This window comes from Homo sapiens, chromosome 2 (genome assembly GCF_000001405.40).
Source record: "Homo sapiens chromosome 2, GRCh38.p14 Primary Assembly".
Lineage (NCBI taxonomy): Eukaryota > Metazoa > Chordata > Mammalia > Primates > Hominidae > Homo > Homo sapiens.
In genome coordinates this window covers 173,932,582-173,953,919 of record NC_000002.12, presented here as the reverse complement: position 1 = coordinate 173,953,919, position 21,338 = coordinate 173,932,582, and the positions used below count along the sequence as shown (strand labels likewise).

The 21,338-nt window shown below is 37.7% G+C and overlaps 1 protein-coding gene across 3 annotated transcripts in view, besides 1 other annotated feature; it reads left to right on the top strand.

The window, feature by feature from the left end:
• SP3 (Sp3 transcription factor) overlaps nucleotides 1-21,338 on the top strand; it is a 64,928-nt gene that overhangs the window by 11,783 nt on the left and 31,807 nt on the right. The window lies entirely within an intron of this gene.
• Nucleotides 13,708-13,847: an enhancer, noted in NCBI's record as "active region_16769". NCBI's record gives its function as "activates an Ori minimal core promoter by ATAC-STARR-seq in GM12878 lymphoblastoid cells {active_cell/tissue: GM12878}" and the evidence as "EXISTENCE:reporter gene assay evidence [ECO:0000049][PMID:35858748]".

Sequence of the window (21,338 nt, the reverse complement as noted above, 5' to 3'; positions counted from 1 at the left end):
GGTCTTAGAACCTCAGATCCGTATTTGGAAATCCTTTAATTGCATTTAAGCCTTCTGAAGCTGTGATTATTTTTTTTTAGGGGTTGGGATTAGGATTTCTGAAACTGGTTTAGAGCAGTAGTTGTTTTTTTTTTTGTTTTGTTTTGTTTTTTGAGATGGAGTCTCGCTCTGTCACACAGGCTGGAGTGCAGTGGTGTGATCTTGGTTCACTGCAACCTCTGCCTTCTGGGTTCAAGCAATTCTCGTGCCTCAGCCTCTCGAGTAACTGGGATTAGCTCCTGAATAACTGGGATTACAGGTGCACACCACCACATCCGGCTAATTTTTGTATTTTTAGTAAAGATGAGGTTTAGTAAAGATGTTGGCCAGGCTGGTCACAAACTCCTGACCTCAAGTGATCTGCCTGTCTTGGCCTCCCAAAGTGCTGGGATTACAGGTGTGGGCCTCCCAAAGTTCTGGGATTACAGGTGTGGGTCTCCCAAAGTGCTGGGATTACAGGCGTGAGCCACCGCTCTGCTCCTGGCCTAGAACAGTAGTTCTTAAAATGTGATCTGTGGACCATTGGATATCCCTGAGACCCTCTCAGAGGTCCTTCACATCAAGCTGCACTAAGAAATTGTTTGCCTTGTTCTCTGTGTTGACACTTTCAGTGGTGGTGGATAAAACTGCTTGTGTCTTAGCATAAATCAAGGCAGTGACAGCAAACTGTAATAGTTGTTGCTGTATTCTTCATGACCATGCACTTGCAGTTAAAGAAAAATCCCAGTTTCACTCAAGAATGACCTCGATGAACCAGTAAGAAAAGATATTTACTAAATCTTGACCCTTGAGGGCTGCATGTCTTTTAAAAAATAATAGCTTTATTGGGATATAACTCACATACCGTAAAACTCACTCTTTATACAATTCACTGGTTGTAACTATGGTCATAGAGTTGTACAACCATCATCACTATCTAATTTCAGAGCATTTTTATTACCTCAAAAGGAAACCCATACCCTTTAGCAGTCACTCATCATTCACTTCCCCTCAGACCCTGACAACCACTATGCTACTTTCTGTCCCTTCAGATTTGCCAGTTATTTCGTATCAGTGTAATTGTACAATATGTGGCCTTTGGTGTTTGGTTTCTTTCATTTAGCATGATGTTTTCAAGGTTCATCTGTGTCATGGTATGTGTCATTACCTCATTTCTTTATATATGGCTGAATACTGTTCCACTGTATGGATATACCACATTTTATTTATCTACTGGTGGACATTTAGGTTGTTTACACTTTTTGGCTATTATGAATATTGCTGCTGTGAACATTTGTGTAGGTAGTATTTTGTGTGGAAATGTTTTCTTTTGGGTATGTACCTGGGACTGGATTGCTGGGTTATATGGCAATTGGGTTTAACCGGTTTTCCAAAGAGACCATACCGTTTTACATTCTCATCAGCAATGTGTTGAGAGTCCCAATTTCTCTCTAGCGCCACCAACCTTATTATTGCCCATCTTTCTGATTACAGCCATCCTAGTGGGTGTGAAGTGGTATCTTTTTATGGTTTTGGTTTGTAGTTCCTACTGCATATCTTTGTAGTAGTATTTATGATGAAATGGGAAGTATGCCTTAATAAAGCATTTTTGCTGCATATCAAAATAAGAATTGTCTTTAAAAAACCACTTTTTTCCCTCAGTTATGCAGTTCTGTGAGTTGCAAGCTGAACTAGATGCTATTTTCATCAAATACTGTTTTTACTTGAAAGAATGATAAACTGTGGTCTTGAGATTAATGTACTTAAGTGACAGATATTTCCTCAAAAAAAAAAAAAAAATGAAGTGAGCCTGTCATGTGAAGGAAAAAAACTGGAAAGCATTTGCTGCTGCAGATGACAAAATTTGTGCTTTCCAGTGAAAATTAGAATTTTAGAAAACTCAAATCTATTATGAGCTTGATACCTTCTTAATATTTTTCTGATGAGATGGATAGTGATACTAACAAAGCTTTTTTGATACTGTATTTTAATGTAATGTGCTAACACTTGGAAGATCTGTATGATAGTTCAGTGAACCGGCAGTTTTCAGATGACCAACTCATTATATTATAAAATCATGCATGAGTAAAAGATCCATTCAAAGTGCGAGATAGACCAATAACAGTATAGAAAGTTTACAGGTAGTGTCAGATTCCACATTTGGACTGAACTTGAAGAAACTGCCACCTGTTAAGTTTGGTGTAGTATTCAAAGAAAACCCACAATTGGCTGAAAGGATATTAAGTTATTCTTGCCCTTTCCAGGTAGATATCCGTGAGTAGATACTCTTCATATGGTTCAGCCCGAACCATATTGCAAGAGATTGAATGCAGGAGCAGATCTGAGACTTTAAATGTCTTCTTTTATTCACTCTAGACATTACAGAGATTTGTGAAAATGTAAAACATGGTTTTCTCATTAAACTTTTTTTGTTGTTTTGAAAAATGTTTTTCATAAAATGTTAATTTATGTTAACGTGTAATGGATTTATTTTTAAATGAACTAAATTTAAATTTCTGTTTATGATATGGTAAGTATCAGTATACACATATACTACATGAACAGAAGTTTTTTGTGAACGTCAGTAATGTGTAAGTTTGGAAAGGAGTTCTGAGACTAAAAGGTTTGAGTTAAGTGACAGACTACTGAAGACATAAAAGATAGTTTTTAGAAACTAGTTTTTAATGTGTGTACAAAATTAATGTTACAGCGTTCTATAGGTGTTAGAAAATAAATCTAGAAACTTTGATTTTTGTGGATTTATGTTGGTCATGAAATGAAGTTGGTATAAAGCACCAAGTTCTTCAGTAAAGTAATTTCTTTTCAAATGTTATCAGAATAGAAACACTGTGTATATTGAATACAAAATGGAATTTTAGTTTATTGAATGTTGCCCAGGAAGGGTAAAATAAATACTCCAGAAAGCCATTAAATTTGAATTTTGTCCTGATTTTAAAGGAACGGGGAAATTATTTGAGAAAGTAAAAGTTAAAGCAAGTGAGAATAAAAATGCTGTATAAGACATAGCATATTTAGTAATAAATTCATTTTGAGGATATAAACTTTCTCTTGGTATACTATCTTTCTAATTGGCAAGAAGGGAGATATGTTAAGATGCTTTTTCTCACTAGAAAATCAGAGCAAAACATTTTTGTTTCAGTGTTACGTGTAGTATGCCCAGATGAAAATGCTGAAAACTTTGACATCCTTGGTTTGCCTTTTTTACTTTTTTTTTTTTTTTTTAAGAGACAGGGTCTCTGTTTTCTAGGCTGGAGTGCAGTGGCATGATTATAACGCATTGTGATCTCAAACTCCTGGCCTGAGCCTCCTGAATGTGTAGAACTACAGGCTAGCGCCACCATGCCCAGCTAAGTTTTAAATTTTTTGTAGAGATGGCATCTTGCTATGTTGCCCAAGTTGGTCTTGAACTGCTAGGCACAAGCAGTCCTTTTGCCTTGGCCTCCCAAAGTGTTGGAATTATAGGCATGGGCCACTGTGCCTAGCCTGCACTTTACTTTTGATAAGCATGACATTAATGTAACAATTTCCCAAAATAAAGGAGAAAGTACTTTTTTTTTTTTTAAACCAGGGCTCTGGAACTTGCCTTTTTGTTTGTTTTTGTTAAGTTTAAAGGACCCCTTTAACAAAAATGACCTCTACTCGAGCCTGTATTAAGCAGTAAGTCTGACTTTGTTCCCTTCTTTTTTGGGGTACTTTTACTACTCCTTATCCTTTAGAAGGCAAATCTCCATCTTCCTGGAAACATCAGGCGCCAAGCTGAAACCCTACTAATCTTACATATTTCTGTCCATTTGTGGCCCACTGAGAAATGCATGCTGTTTTAGGAAACTTCATTGTTGTCTCATTTTTACTTTATCGTTGCTGTATATTTGAAACTGGGTAAGAGGAGGCAAAGTGTGAATTTATGTATCTTTCCAATGTCAAAATTTCCCCCAAATTTAAGCCAAGACTTAATTCAGTCTCTCAAATTTTAGTCCTCTGTCAGATTTTGTTTTATCTAAAATACAGTTAATCTTTCAAGACTGGGCACATTTAAAATGGAGTCAGGTGTTTGAAGTTGGAAGAAGAGTTTATAGAAGTCATTTCTTCTTAAAAGCAAACAACTTAATGTTTAGAATTCCCCATTATTCATGAAAAACTGGATAGTTGCAGGTTAACTGGTAGCTATCTTTTTTTGAGAAAATAGAAGCCTTATAAAAGGCAGGCTTTTTTAACTTAATATTTAAGTATTTAAAGATTGACAGGCGAAAGAGGGATGGATCTCTTATGGGCTCCTACTCTATCGGGTACTGTTTAGGTGTTTTTAGGTGTATTATCTCATATAATTCTTTCTTACATTAATCTATTTACTATTCTCACGGTTGGATAGGAAAGTAACTGGCCCAAGGCTTCACAACTAGGCTTTGTTCTTTTCACTCTCCTATAGTGTCTTGGCAGTGTGCTCTTTAATTTATATCAGTATTGTATTTTTCTTCCCTTTTTTTGGTTATTTTTATTTCAGATTTTTTTTTTTTCCTTTTTGAGGGTAAAATACTAGCCTTGAATAAAGTATTTTCTACATGGTAAGTGGAGGAAATGTCTTCTGAAACATTTTTATTTGTGATTCTAACAAGGTGAAAGATAAATCCTTACTGATTTTACCTAAGGGATCACTGTCAGAACTGGTTGATTATAGAAATGCACAAATACTGCTAAAAGGCCAACCCTATTGCTTGAAAAGTAGAGTGTATGATGGAAATGTGGTCTTTTTAGAGTTACAAAAAGAATAGACAAAATGTGATGACTATGATCTGTGCTGATTTTAAGTAATTGGTAGATCTCCTTTTGCCCCTCTTACACAACATAAAAGGTTGTTGTGTAAGACTTTTACACTGTTGCTTTCTGTAGACTTTAAAGTTGTCTTATCAAAAATAACCTGAGGATGGTTTATTTAGGTATCATACCACTTAGCTTGGTTATGTCTGAGTTCCTGTTCATTTGTGAATCATGTATGTATTGCATGCTATGGTCTTTAAATTTTAGAAATTAAGATTTTTATTTTAATGCTTGGGGAAAACCTATTCATATTCTGATTTTCCAACGATTTTTTTGGTTTATTAATTTTGAGACTTATAATTATTTATTTTCTGTACTTAAAGTTGATTTGCTTACAAAAGTAATACATGGCTTGATATGGAAAACAAAAACATTATGGAAATATTTAATGTAGAAAGTGAAATTTTCTCTTATCTCTTAGGAATAAGACTTAGTGTCATATATTTTAAAATATTGTCATAATTATACTGCATATACACTTTTTACAATATTGCTTAATTTTTAGTTTTAGGAGGATGAAAATAGAATAGTCGCCCCCCTTATCAGTGAGGGATAGTTCAAAGACCCCCAGTGGATCCTGAAACCTCAGGGAGTACCAAACCCTATATACACTATGGTTTTTACTATATGGTAATGAGTGGGTAGCATGTATAGTGGATAGGCTGGACAAAGGAATGATTCATGTCCCAGGTGGGATGGAATGAGACAGCATGAGATTTCTTAGTGCAAAGAATGGCATGTAATTTAAAACTTGCGAAGTCTTTATTTCTGGAATTTTTAATTTCATGTTTTCAGACTGTGATTGACTATGGGTAACAAACCATTGTGGAAAGCAAAACCTTGGATAAGGGTATAAGGACTTCCTATACTTGCTAAGTATTTAGGTCAAGAATTACATCCTATTTAATTAGCTATTAATATAGATAAAAGTACCCTACATGCAGAAAAACCCAGAGTTAGATTCATTGCTGAAAACAAGAGCCTGGAGTAGGGCTCTTTTTTGTTAAAGGGGAGCTACAAAAAGTTGTTGCTGTTTGTTATCCTGAGGTATGACTTAAATGAAGATTTACGGAGATGAGACGATGATGCAGGAAAATAGGAGGACATCAGCACAGTCTTACGACCACCACATCTGAACCAATCTGAACCATTGAACTGTTAGCTGAGTGTTTGGATTTGTGATATAGCCAGTATTACTGCTTACAAGAGTTATATATGAGTTTTGGGGCTTGCAGAAATGCCAGACCCAAAATTGTAATACTGAGAAAGAAAGAAAAAAATTGTATTCAAGATGATCCTGCAAACCTAAATTCCAAAATACATGAAGACAAAATCTGTGAAAGATAGCTGATAAAATCAACAATTAGGAGATGAATTCATGTCAGATTAAAGAAAACAAAACATTCTGTTGAAGACTTTGAAAATCAGTATGCTTGCAATTGTCAGTGAGATAAAAGAAGCAATAGCATCTATAGAAAAGAAGTGAAACAAAAACAATAAATACGGAAAAACAATCAAATCCTGTACATGAGAAACCCATTTCATTGATTCTAAGACAATTTTTTGAAATCGGAGTGCATCTTGCTATTCAAGGCATGTCAGTGTTTCTCTCTCTTTTTTTTTAAACTGGTAGTGCTTTTTCTTAGATGAAACATAAAAGTTTTTCGGGGAGAAAAAAGACAACCTTTAGAATGGATTGAGCAAATAGTAATATGCTTAGGAATTTACCCAGAATACCACACAGAGATAATGAACGAGCAGTTAAGACATGGAGGATAGATTGAGAACCACCAGTGTAGGAATTTCAGAAGAAAAGAATAAAGTGAATGGCAAGAGAAGCAATGTTTGATGAAATAATGGCTAAGAATTTTCTTGTGTTGAAGAAGTACAATCTACAGATCAAGTTTTATTTCAAGTATGTTGATAAGTAGAAATAAGTTCATCTCTGACTTGAACTAAAATCACAGACATTACAGAGATGTTACATTAACATCTTAAATGTTAACAGAGAGAAGACAGATTACTTACAAGGAATGATAGCCCAGCTAGGTATGGTGGCTCATGCCTCTAATCCCACCACCTTAGGAAGCCAATGCAGGAGGATCACTTGAACCCAGGAGTTAGTTTGAGACCAGCCAGGGCAACATAGTAAGACCCTCCGTCTACCTTAAAAAAAAAAAGCCAGGCGTGGTGGTACACACCTGTAGTCGCAGCTACTGGGGAGGCTAAGTTGGGAGGATTGCTTGAGCCTGGCAGGTTGAGGCTACAGTGAGCTGTGATTGTGCCACTGCACTCCACACTGGTGACAGACCGAGGCCCTGTCTTAAAAAAAAAAAAAAAAAAAGGCAGATCTTTCTTTTTAGCCACACAGATGTCAGAAGATCGTGGAGTAACATTCAGAGTGCTGAGAGAAAATAACCAGCAGCCCAGAATTCAGTGGGCAATTAAACTACTATTCAAGATTCAGAGTTTAGTGAAGATATTTAAAATACTATTATTCAAAGACCTTTATTGAACTGACTACTGTAGGATTAAGTAGGAAAAATGGATCCTGAGGAAATGAGTTGGAAATGAGGAAATAACAGTAATTACAGAAATGGATTTAAAAAATTGATGATTTGAATCCCAGTGTGGTGGTACATGCCTTTAGTTCCAGCTACTCCGGAGGTTGAGGTGGGAGAATTGCTTGAGGCCAGGAGTTTAAGACCAGCTTGGGCAAGATAGACCCCCATCTCTTTAAAAAAAAAAAATCAGTAATATTGGTAACTTAGAAATATAAAAAATTTCAAAAGTACACAAAAACAATATATAATGAACCTTCCATGTACCCCTTTCCCAGCTTTAGCAATTATGAACACCCTGCTATTCTTGTTTCCTTTATTTCTACCATTTAAAGTTTTTTTTTTGCTGGGTTATTTAATCAATTTATTATTATTTTTGAGACCGTATCTTGCTCTGTCACCCAGGCTGGAGTGCAGTGGTGTGATCTTGGCTCAGTGCACCCTCCACCTCCTGGGTTCAAGTGATTCTCCTGCCTCAGCCTCTAGAGTAGCTGGGATTACAGGAGCCTGCCACCATGCCTGGCTAATTTTTGTGTTTTTTAGTAGAGATGGGATTTCACCACGTTGGCCAGGCTGGTCTTGAACTCCTGACCTCAAATGATCCGTCCACATCAGCCTCGTAAAGTGCTGGGATTAAGGCATGAGCCACCAGGCCTGACGTTTGCTGGGTTATTTTAAAGCAAATCTGACATCATATAATATTATCCCAAAATACTAATGGAGTGGTTCTCAGTGTGTGATCTGAGACCCCTGGGGGAGGTGTCCCCGTGATCCTTTAATGGGAGAGTGAAGTCAAAGCTATTTTCATAATATTAAGATGTTATTTACCTCTTTCACCTCACAAGTAGTGTACAGTGGAGTTTTTATTAAGGAAGTTGAACATATGTGCATGTTCATTGGCTATTTGTGTTTTTTTGTTAAATTGCCTTTTATGTTTTTTATTTTCCCCCACTAGTATAGCATACTTCTTGTATACTGTATACATAAAGATGTTGTAAATGTCTTTATATGTCTGGGATATTAATCTTTTGTCCCACACTACAAATAATGTCATCATTTTTTTGCCTTCAGGTTTAGTCATGTTGAGTTGAGGTATACATAAGTTCTTACTAGACTTTTTTTAGTATAACAATTTAGAAACTTTGAGGTGTAGTTTTTGAATTTAGTTTGTATGGATTTACAAGTCTTCTGATGTAGTGGGAACAGTATGTGGAAGAAATTGGGTATTTTAAATTATACTTTCTTAGACTAGAAGATCTAAAATGCATTGTGTGACCTTTAAAATAAAGTAATTTTAAATATATGGTTTTGGTCACACTTTGGTTTCTTAGTATTCTATGGAAAAATAGTGTTCATAGTTCCATGAGACCCATCCTTAAGGATGATACTTTCATCAACCTGAAGTGTATTTAATTTAACATTAGTAAATATTATAACCATTTACTTGTTCTGATATAGCTATGTGATTTAAACCATAGAATTTTAGAGAGCTCAACTAATTCAACTTATTAAATGCATCTTGAACAAATGGCTGCTCAGTGTTTGTTTTTCGTAGAGACAGGGTTTCACCATGTTGGCCAGGCTGGTCTCAAACTCCTAGCTTCAAGTGATCCAGCTGCCTTGGCCTCCCAAAGTGCTGGGATTACAGGCATGAACCACCGTCCCACCATTGGTGGTTTTTTTTGGTTTGTTTTGTTTTTTAGTACTTTTCTCTTTAATTTTTTTGGAATAGTATATTTAGTTTAATAACCAAATTTACCCCATAATTTAGTCAGCAACAATAATGCAAATAAGGATTCTGGATGAACATAAAAGAATGGAAATCACCTGATGTGTGCTCTTCATTAGAGTGTTGATATATTTTTCAGTAATGCCGTATTTTATTCCAAGAGAAGAACTTTATTACAGCTTGTTCTCTAAACTGCCTCATCATTTTAGTGGTTCTTGGGGACAATTTTTGTATTCAACTTAACAGTTTTTTTGAGACAAGGTCTAGCTCTGTCACCCAGGCTGGAGTGCAGTGGTGCAGTTTTGGCTCACTGCAATCTCCAGCTCCCAGGCTCAAGCAATCCTCCTGAGTTAGCTGGGACTACAGGTGTGTGCCACCACACCTGGCTAATCTTGTGTATTTTTTCTAGAGATGGGGTTTTGCCATGTTGCCCAGGGTGGCCTCGAACTCCTGAGCTCAAGCAGTCCGCTTGCCTTGGCCTCCCAAAGTGTTGGGATTATAGGCATGAGCCACCATGCCTGGCCTTCAGCTTTATTTTATGAAGGTACTTAACATGTGACGTTGTTTTCATAAATCTCATAAATTCTCTGATGAAAATAGGACCATCATTCTCCCAGCAACCTAGGTTAGTCAGTCATTGATTCAGTCAACAAATGTTTGAGGTTATAGTCACATGCTGCATAATGATGTTTCAGTCAGCAGCGAACCACATATATGATGGTGGTCCCATAAGATGTAAGACTTTTACGATTCCTTTTCTGTTATGTTTAGATATACAGATACATACCATCATGTTTACAGTTGCCTATAGTACTCAGTAGAGTAACTTGCTATACAGGTTCTTAGCCTGTGAACAATAGACTATACCTATAGCCTAGATATGTAGTAGACTATACCACTAGGTTTGTGTAAGAAAGACTGTGATGTTTGTACAGTGATGAAATCGCCTAATGATGTATTTCTCAGAATGTATCCCAGTCATTAAGTGACAAATGGTTGTATATTACACTATTCTAGGTAATGTTCTTTGCAGCAGTGAAAAAGACTAAGTCCCTCTTCTCATGAATCTTGTATTCTAGTGGATGAAGACAAATAAGCAAATACAATACTTTTAAATAATTAGTGTTATGAAGAAAATAAAGCAGCGCAGGGAGCAGTGGTTCATGCCTTTAATTCCAGCACATTGGAATACCGAAGTGGGAGGTTCACTTAAGCCCAGGAGTTCGAGACCAGCCTGGGCAACATAGTGAGACCCCCATCTCATAAAAAAGAAAATTAAAAAGGAAAGTAAAGCAGAGTTATGGAATAACCATGGAGTATGGTGGTTATTTTAAATATGATGGTTAGGAAATCCCGCCTTATGAGAAAATGAAATTGAACTACAGATCTGAACATTGATAAAGGAGCCTGTCACATTGACATTTGGAGGAAAGAGTATTCCAGGAAGAGGGAATGAGCAAGGTGGCTGGAATTTCATGAATGAGGAGTGTTAGAAAATAAGATTGGAATCAGTCAGGGGCCAGATAATATACGCCATGGTAGGGAAATTGGATTTATTTCATGTCTCATAGGAAAACATTGGCAGGTTTTAAATAGGGAACTGATATAATTTATGTATTTAAAAGATCACGCCAGCAGGTCCCTGCCTCAGAGTAAGCATAAGGCTGATGGAGCAATAGAGTCATTCCTCAGTATCCATTGGGCATTGGTTCTAGGATACTCCCTACACCCCCTAGAATATCAAAATCCCCAGATGCTCTAGTCTCTTGTAGTATTTGCATATAACCTACACACATCCTCCCACAAGCTTTAAATCATCTCTTAGTTACTTATAATACCTAATATAATGTAAATGCTATATATATAGTTGTACTGTATTTTAAATTTTATATTTTTATTTTTGTGTTTTTAAAAAAACATTTTTGATTTACAGTTAATTGGATCCACAGATATAGAACCTGTGGAGGGCTGACTGTACAAGCAAAAGATGATAGTTTGGCTAGGCTAGTAATGAAGAAAATCTAGGGAAGGGTGGAGTAAAGTGGGAATTAAGTCTGTTATGGCTTTGTTAAATCTGAAATGACTATTAGATCTACAAGTGGATGGTTCCAGTAAACAGTGGAATATCAGAATCTAGTGGTCAGGTTGGGCTGGAGGTAGAATTTAGGGTGTCATTAGTGTATACAGATATGACTCGATGAAATATTCAGGTCATAGTTTCTTTTCCAGTCACCCAGACTGGAGTGCAGTGGCATGATCTTGGCTGACTGTAACTTCCACCTCCTGGGTTCAAGCGTTTCTCCTGCCTCAGCCTCCCAAGTAGCTGGGATTACAGGCATGCGCCACCACGCTCGGCTAATTTTTGTATTTTTCATAGAGATGGGGTTTCACCATGCTGGCCAGGCTGGTCTTGAACTTCTGACCTCAAGTGATCCACCTGCCTCGGCCTCCCAAAGTGCTGGGATTACAGGCTTACAGGCCTTGTGAGCCACTGCTCCCGGCCCCAACTTTTGACTGCATTGTAGGATCTCACAGAGAACTTTCTAGAAGTGCCAACAACTTGTGTTCATCCTCCTCCCAATTCTAGTTTAATTGCTCTGCATGAAACCAGGAAAGTTGTGTTGTAAAAATCCCAAAGTGATTTTGAAGTGCAGCTGGTTTAAGAATTTCTAACTTAGTAGAGAAAGAATATACATAGAGAAGAACTTGGGAAATCATATTCTGAGCCTCAAGTTACTATTCTAGACTTTTTAAATGCAGGGTCTGGCACAGAATCAAATGTAACCCACCAGGCATATGAGAAGGTAAGATACCGTGAATGAGAACCAGCAGAAACAATGGAAATAGACTAAAAACTACTTACTGTGGTCTAGGGAATACAAGCCAAGCTTGAAAAAATTTTAACAGAGTTGGAGACTGTAACAGAAATGACACTGCAGATTTGTAAAATAACCAAATAGAAATTCAGGAACTGAAACTTAAGTATCCAAAATTGAGGGAAAGCCTTAGGAATGAGTCCTAGGGCATTCCCAACATATAGAGGGTGAGAAGTAGAGGAAGAGCTAGCAAAGGAAACAGAAGGAGCTTCCATGAAAGCCAAGTATATTCTGGAAGCCAAGTGTGTAAATTACTTAAGAAAGGAGGAGGGAATGCTTATCCCTTTCTTTTCTTTTTTTTAGGCAGGGTCTCAACTATCACCCAGGCTGGAGTGCAGTGGCATGATCACTGGCCTGGACCTTCCGGGCTCAGGTGACCTTACCACCACAGCTTCCCAAGTAGCTGGGACTGCACATGTGTGCTGCCATGTCTGGCTAATTTTTTGTAATTTTTAGAAGAGATGGGGTTTTGCCACGTTGACCAGGCTGGTCTCGAACTCCTGGTCTCACGTTATCCACCTGCCTTAGCCTCCCAAAGTGCTGGGATTACAGGCATGAGCCACCATGCCTAGCATTATCTATTCATATATTGTGGAGGGTACATAAGATGAGAGAGAACGGGATATTGGATTTAGTAAGATAATGATTGTTGGTGACTTTTAACAAGTGGTTTCATTAAGAGTGCTGGGGAGGAAAGCATGAGTAGAATGATTTAAAAGGTGAAGAGGATTTAGTGAGAGTAATTACAGACTTTTTTTTTTTTTTTTTTTTTACTCGTGTTGTGAGCAACATTGAAATAGGTGGTAGCTGGAGGTGGACCTGGTTGAGGAGGTTGGTTTTCTAAGAATCTCGCCACAAATTAATGATAGAGGAGAGAAAGTATGAAAGAGGATGAGAGAGGGATGTTTTAAGAAAACAAGCAAGGTGAAACACAGGACACAGGTTTAAGGGTTGGACACAGGAGTAGGGGTCATTATAACAGGGAAAGGGCATTGGATAGACATTCAGAGATACAGATATGTTGATTGGAAGATAAGATAATTCTTGTCAGATTATTCCTTATTTCCTTTTGTGATAAGAAACAAGCTAAGATGGGTGAGAGGGCCAGGTGTTAGGAAGTTTGAGAAGGAAGAAGGTATGAAGTGGTCATCTGAGAATTGGAAAGTGAAATGTGAGATGTAGAATTGCAGCAGTACTGGGTGCCTGCTTGAATAATTAGCACAGTTGTGTTTTTTCTCCAGCTACCTTTAGCTGCTGGGCACACATGCAAACTTCAATCTTCTGTTTCCTGGTGGAAAGTTCCAAGTCCTTTTTGTTCTGTTTCTGCCATATTTTTGTTATCTGTTCATCCTCTCCATTCTCAGTTTGTTAGTTTGGCTCTTACTGGTCTCCTAGACCAGGGGTCTTGCACCCCCGGGTGCCAAGGCCACAGTGCAAAAAGTAAGCAGTGGGCGATAAGCATGACTGGCTGAGCTCCGCCTCCTGTCACATCAACAGCAGCATTAGATTCTCATAGGAGCCCGAACCCTATTGTGAATTGCACATGCGAGGGATCTAGGTTGCAAGCTCCTTATGAAAAATCTAATACCTAATGATCTGAGTGAGTGGAACAGTTTCACCCTGAAACCATCTCCCTTGTCAGCAGTAAAATTGTCTTCCATGAAACTGGTCCCTGGTGCCAAAAAGGTTGGGGACCGCTGTCCTAGACTACTATTAAGACATCTAATCTAGGCTGAGTGTGGTGGCATAATCCCAGCACTTTGGGAGGCTGAGGCTGGGAGAATTGCTTGAAGCCAGGAAGTTGAAACCAGTCTGGGCAACCAAGCAAGACCTTGCCTCTACCAAAAAACAAAAAAAAATTAGCTGGTCACAGTAATGTGTGCCCATAGTCCTGTCTGCTCAGAGAGGCGGAGATGGGAGGATTGATTGAACCCAGGAGGTCAAGCCTACAGTGAGTTATGATTGAGTCATTGCACTCCAGCCTGGGTGACTCTCTCTTAAAAAACAACTTCCATTTTCCATGCCCCCTCCTTTCTGGTGCATTAACAAAAATTTATTTTTAAAAAAAATTTTTACATTTTTAATCTTTTTAATTCCTCCCCCAAAATCAGTGTAACTTTTTTTTTTTTTTTTTTGAGTTGGAGTCTTGCTCTGTTGCTCAGGCTGGAGTGCAGTGGCGCAATCTTGGCTCACTACAACTTCCGCCTCTCTGGCTCAAGTGATCTTCCTGCCTCAGCCTCCTGAGTAGCTGGGACTACAGGCCCATGCCACCACACCTGGCTAATTTTTTGTATTTTTAGTAGAGACAGTGTTTCACCATGTTGGCCAGGCTGTTATCAAACTCCTGACCTCAGGTGATCTACCTGCCTCGGCCTCCCAAAGTGCTGGGATTACAGGCATGAGCCACCGTGCCTGGCCAGATGTCACAAAAATTTTTAATCTTATTTCAAAAATGCTGCAGTAGATATCCTTATACAGATGTGTCATTTCTTTTGTTAAAGTATGCATATCTGAAGCATATACATCTGAAAGCACAATCCCAAGGTTGGAGAATATGTGCATTTTAAATTTTGTAAGATACTAGAAACTGTTCCAATACATCATTTTGGTATCAGTCATTTTCCCTAAACACAGATCATGTTGCTTTCTGTAAAGTCTTTACTGGCTCTTCCATTACCTTTAAATTGAGGTCTGTTGAGTCTACAGATAACTTACAGCGCTCTTGCTGTGCATGCCAGATACTGGAATTACAAAGATGAATATGATAATTCTTGCACTAAAGGTGCTCATAATCTAACAAGTTAGACTATGATTTCTCAACCTCTGCACTGTTGATATTTTGGGCCTGATGATTCTTTGTTTTGGGGCTGTCCTCTGCATTGTAGGATGTTGAGGAGCATTCCTGACTTACCCACTAGATGCTGGTAGCACTCTGTACCCCAGGCAGTTGTGATAATAAAAAAAATGGCTTCACACATTGCCAGATGTCCCCTGGAGGACAGTTCTTCATCTCCCCCTTAAGAATCATTGGGTTAGACAGACATGCACATGATTCTAGTATAATGTGATAAATGGTATATTAACATTGAACCCCACAGCACTTTAGAAACAGGAATAGTGGAGTAACCTTCAGGTTGACATCTTTCAAGACTTAGCCCAGATACTGCCTTATCCCGCAGCCTTCCCTTCTTCTTGCCACCTTTGAATTACCGCTTGTTTAATAGCACTTGTCCTTTGTCTTGTATTATAGCTAACATGTATTTCTTGTTTTGGGATTGGGCAGTCATTGCTTACTCATCTTTTTTTTTTCTGCATTCTTTTTTTTGATGGATAAAATGAAGAGATGCCAATAATAGATACAGAATAAACGTAGATTTGTGTGGAAATGTGTAATGTAAATTTTACCTGTTTGGTTGCTTTTTTTTTTTTTTTTTTTTTTTGAGGCAAAGTTTCGCTCTTGTTGCCCAGACGGGAGCACAATGGCACTATCTCGGCTCACTGCAACCTCTGCCTCTTAGGTTCAAGTGATTCTCCTGCCTCAGCCTCTCCCGAGTAGCTGGGATTACAGGCGCCCACCACCACGCCCGGCTAATTTTTGTATATTTAGCAGAGACAGGGTTTCACCATGTTGACTAGGCTGGTCTTGAACTTCTGACCTCAGGTGATCCACCCTCCTTGGCCTCCCAAAGTGCTGGGATTATAACTTTGTTCAGATGTGATAGTTGCATTCTGTGTTTCATACCTCTACCAATTCTGTAATTGTGTTAAATTTGTAGCTTTTTAAAAACTCTTGACATTAAGAATTATGTTTCAGAAGCCAACATATAAACCTGTGGGGGAAGAAACTAAGAGAAGCAAGAGGAACGTTAGGTTTAGTCTTACGTGCATATGAGAGAATTTAGGAGAATTAAATGACTTGCCCTAAAGTCATTTTTTAACACTGTAGATTTAGTGTATTTTTATTCTAAGAATAACATGATGAGAGATTTTTTGTAAGTTCTTTATCTTTGAGCAGTACATAATGAAATATTTGCAGATGAAATGTTATATCTCGGATTTGTTTCAAAATGAGGTAGTTTGGGTTATACATGAAATAGAATTGTCCCAGAGTTTGTGGAATTTGGGTGTTGGGTACATGGGAGTTTGTTATGCTTTCCTACTTTGGTATATATTGGAGATTTTCTAGAGTAAAAAGGTTTTGAGAATGTGAGTTTTAGCCTCATGTTTTTAATGAGTAGAAAATTTGGATTAAAAAATATTTTAAAACTTCTTTTTAAACATTTTTTTCTCGGACTTTAGTGAGCATCAGAATTATTTAAAAATTTTTTTTCAAGAAATTTAACATAAAGTAAGATTGGACTTTAATTTTGGTTCCAACATCTCCTGTGATGTTTGAGTTAGTAAGCTTTGTTCATAGTAACAGCTTGGGCAGGGTTTGTATACTTACTTGATTCACAAGTGGAAGAGGATTTTATGGTTCTGTTGTGAAAGCCTTGAAGATGAAGTTTTGACTGTTTAGGCTATTTCCCTGCATTATCTCTTGTGTTAATGAAGAAGGTAGTTGATAAATTTCAGGGGATAACCAGTCACACTAAACTGCAGTGGAAGTGTTCTTGGTTTTTCTTGCATATGAAGGGGAAAGTCAGATAAATTTTTAATAAATGTCTTTGCTGCTTTCATTTGGCAGCCTTGTTTGGGCACAGGGTTAATAAAGGCTCAAGAACTTGAGAGAGCGGGTGAACAAGTTTCTTACTGTGAAAATGTAAATAGTCAACTGTGTGCTTTTTTTGTATTGTCTGTAGAAGTATGTATGTGTTCATTTTCTCAAGAAGCTTACAGATTTATTGGAGTATTTAAGATAGATACATGGAGTAGTAATCAACAATATAAATCAGTGTGTGATCTGCAATATAAATCAATATAGTAAGTCACTAAATTGCATGATACAGATAACTGTGTAGAAGTTCAGAGGAACAGAAAATCAAAAAAGGCTCCAGGAGACCTAATAGAGAAGAGAGAAGTTTAATGGGGAATCTAGATTTGTATAGGTAGAGAGATGAGAGGAAGATGTTTACTAACAAGGTTTAAAAAAAAAAAAGGTAAGAATAGAGGCAAGGCAAAGTGTTTCTCCAAAAATGGTTCGTAAGATATTAATAGGTATTATTAAATGTTATAAAAATGCTTATTAGCATGTTAAAGTTTCTGAGAAATCCTGTGGGAAATAAACCTATTTAAGGAAAGGAAGCAGCATTTTTTTCTTTTTTAGATTATACATCTGTATTGATTAGTATTTCATTGGGTTACTTGTGAGGAACTACTTTGGGAAATGCTGTTATAGCATGAATAGAAATCTGGGCAGTTTGGTGACTGGTGGCTGATAGGACACATTTGAATAAGTATGGTGAGAGAATGAAAAGCACTGAATACTATTGGTGAGGGTTGCACTATTTTTAACCTTACTTAAGGAGCCTTTGAAAGTTTTTGAACAGAGGAATAACGTGAATAAATCAATGCTTGGAAGACATAACCTTCAGAACAGAGTGGAATGGGAAGAAACTAGCACTAAAGAAGGTAGGAGCGGGGCCAGGCATGGTGGTTCACACCTGTAATCCCAGCACTTTAGGAGGCCAAGGCAGGTGGATCACCTGAGGTCAAGAGCAGCCTGACCAATATGGTGAAACCCTGTCTCTACTAAAAATAGAAAAAAATTAGCCAGGTGTGGTGGCGTGTGCTTGTAGTCCGAGCAACTCAGGAGGCTGAGACAGAATTGCTTGAACCCAGGAGGCATAGGTTGCAGTGAGCTGACATTGTGCCACTGCTCTCCAGCCTGGGTGACAGAGCGGGACTCCGTTTCAAAAGAAAACCAAAAAAACAAAAAAGGTAAAAGGGGCTACTTTATTTAAACAGGGAGAAAGTAAGGAAGGAAGGAAGAATGCCAGACATTTCAAAGTATGAATTTTATAGGATTGGTGATTAGCTATCAGGAATACAAGAGATGAATCCGTTGGTGATTAGCTATCAGGAATACAAGAGATGAATCCGTTGTTTTAAAGTTATATCATTGGCACGTTTGTGAGGGGAAAACTGATCTGGGGACTCCAAGATGACACTAGTTGGAATGGATTGAATTTGTGGTTGAAATAATTGTTGCTAGTAGAGATGGAGGGCTGAGCCTAGGACAAAGGAATGGAATTCTGTAGGAGATGGTTGATAGACACAGTTGAAGTCAGGAGAGTTGATAAAACTGAGCAGGGGAATTATAAAAAGGAAGATGTTTTGGGAAATTTTGGGGATGGTGGAGTGTGGACCATAAAACGTGCAGGAAGTGTGTACATTTTCTACCATTTCTGAGATACTCTTTTAGGATAATAAAGTTTTAGTGGGTAATATATTTCTTTGGGTGACAGGAAAACAGGATTTCTCTTTCCCCTGACATTTGGCATTGTAAAGTTTAGTTTGCACTCAGATAGTTTGGTTTTGATTGTTTTGTTGGTTGGGTTTTGGTTTTGTCTTACTATTTTCCATCAGGAAAGCATCTACATGGATTGTCTGTCAGTTCTAGATAGTTCTAGCAGAGGTGATAACCTCTGCTTTATTTAAAAGTTAGCTTCTTTTAACCTGGACTGATCATTAATAAGTTAGAACACCCAGCTTTATGATTTTTGGAAACAGGGTCTCACTGTCTCACCCAGGCTGGAGTACAGTGGCATAATCATAGCTTACTGCAGCCCCGAACCTCCTGGGCTCAGTCAGTTCTCCCGCCTCGGCCTCCAATTACAGGCATGAGTCACTGCACCTGGCCTAGAACATCGACTTTAAAACAGGTTTTGGAAGAAAGAATTAATTGCTGGTATCTGATACCAGTCGACATATCAGTACACTTATTCCCTAAGCAAAATTTGCTGCTATATTTACATAAGACCTTCTTTGTGATGCTTTTTTATTTTCTACCACTTAAAGTATTTAATTCCCATTACTTCATGTAATTCAGCCATTCATTACCTTGGATCCTCTTATATGCCAAAATTCTTTCTTGAATGTTTAAGTGAAGATGGAATAGAATGTATTTATTTTTAGAAGAAAGGAGTTTCAGCCTTAGAACTGTAAAAGCAAAGCTTTTGACCTTGAAGGTAATACCTTATATTTGTTGATAAATAAGTAGAGTGCTGATTTAATTTTTTTTTTTACTTTTTATGTTTTATAGTGATGGGGTCTTGCTGTGTTGCTCAGGCTGGTCTTGAACCCCTGGCCTTGGGTAATCCTCCTGTCTCCCTCCTGAAGTGCCGGAGTTACAGGCCTGGCAATTGACTTTTTTGTTACAGTGTTAATAAATGGCAGAAAGTTAACTTTAAAGGGTGTAAGGAAATCTTTTTGAAAATTGGTGAAAATATCTTTAGTTTTGATTAACATTATGTCATTTATTTCCTGCTTTCTCCCTACTTTTTATAAATAAATTGGTTTTTTCACTCCTGTTTAATTTTCTTTCAGCCTATACTTGTTTCAACAGCAGTAACCACTCAAAAAGACTTGGTAAGAAAGTTTTAAAGAGGATTTAAAGTACTTGATGGCCAAAATGAATTTAAAAAATGGTATTTGATGTCTGTTTCCATTTTTGCTTTTTTTCCCATTCTAATCAATTAAGTGTTTGCTCTTTTTTTTTTTTAGAGACAAGTTCTCTCTCACTCAGACTGGATTACAGGGGTATGATTATAGCTCACTGCAGCCTCAAACTCCTGGGCTCATGTGATCCTACTGTGTTAGCCACCTGAGTAGGTGGGACTACAGGTGCCCCGCACTGTGCCTTGCTAATTTTTTTATGTTTTAATTTTTTGTAATGATGGGGTCTCACTATGTTGCCTAGGCTGGTCTTGAACACCTGGGCTCAAGCTATCCTCCCACCTCTGCCTCCAAGTAACTGGGACTACAGATGTACACCACCACATCCAACTCTTATTTCCGCTTTTCATTTGCTTTTATTAAATCTTCAGGAATTTCGTTGAAGGGCAAATGATGTTCCATGGTAAAGAAATTTTATTTGTCTTAGATTTACTGTTTTATCTAGTTAATGGAAGTAGTTTATTCAAGTAGTATAGCTCTACCACTTTATCATTTCATTTGCTTTTTGAAGCAGGGTTATATCAGAGCAAAAGGAAAATAAAGGTAGAATTTATTGAAAACGGTTTGAAAGTTTTAAATTGTGATTTTATAAATGTTACTTTATAACTTTTATATATATATATATATATATATATATATATATAAAGTTTTATAAATGTTAGTCATTTGTACTGTCTTCCTAATATTTCTGGTTCTCTTCATGGGCACACCGAAGTTGGGTGTAGCCATGGAGCTTGCTTTGGCCAATGAAATACGTCATGGTGATTGATCCATTAACATTGATTCATAAGTCAGGAAAGCAGCATCAGCTGACTTATGATGGATGTGAATAAAAAATAGACCTTTGTTTTAAGCCACTGTGATTTGAGGGGTTGTTACTGCAACTTAATTTTGCCCTGCTCTGTTATATAGGGGAGCCATTAGCCCTGTGATGCTATTAAGCACTCGAAATGTGGCTAGACTGAATTGAGATGTGCTGTAAGTGTAATAAAATACAAATTGAATTTTCAAGTTTTAGTATAAAAAATAGAATGTAAAACATTTCATGAATAATTTGTATTATTGATAAAAGATTGAAATTTAATTCTTTGGATATATAGGCATGCTTTATCTTATTGTGCTTCACAGATACTACTTAAAAAAAAATGAAGAATGTGGCAACCTCGCATTTGAGCAAGTCTGTTGACCCCATTTTTCCATCAGAACGTGATCACTTTGTGTCCCTGTGTCACATTTTGGCAATTCTTGGAATATTTCAAACCTTTTCATTATTATTTTTTATTTTTGTTTTTGAGACAGTCTCGTACTGTCGCCCAGGCCTGGAGTGCAGTGGTGCTATATTGGCTCACTGCAAGCTCTGCCTCTGGGATTCAGGCCATTCTCCTGCCTCAGCCTCCCGAGTAGCTGGGACTACAGGACCCCACCGCCAAGCCTGGCTAATGTTTTGTATTTTTAGTAGAGACGGGGTTTCACCGTGTCAGCCAGGATGGTCTCAATCTCCTGACCTCGTGATCCACCTGCCTTGGCCTCCCAAAGTGCTGGGATTACAGGCGTGAGCCACTGCGCCCGACCTTCATTATTATTATACTTCTTAACAGTGATCCGTAATCAGTGGTCTTTGATGTTACTGTTGTAATTGTCTTGGGGCACAACAGACCATGCACCCATAGAAGGTGAACTTAATTGATATAAAGGTTGTAT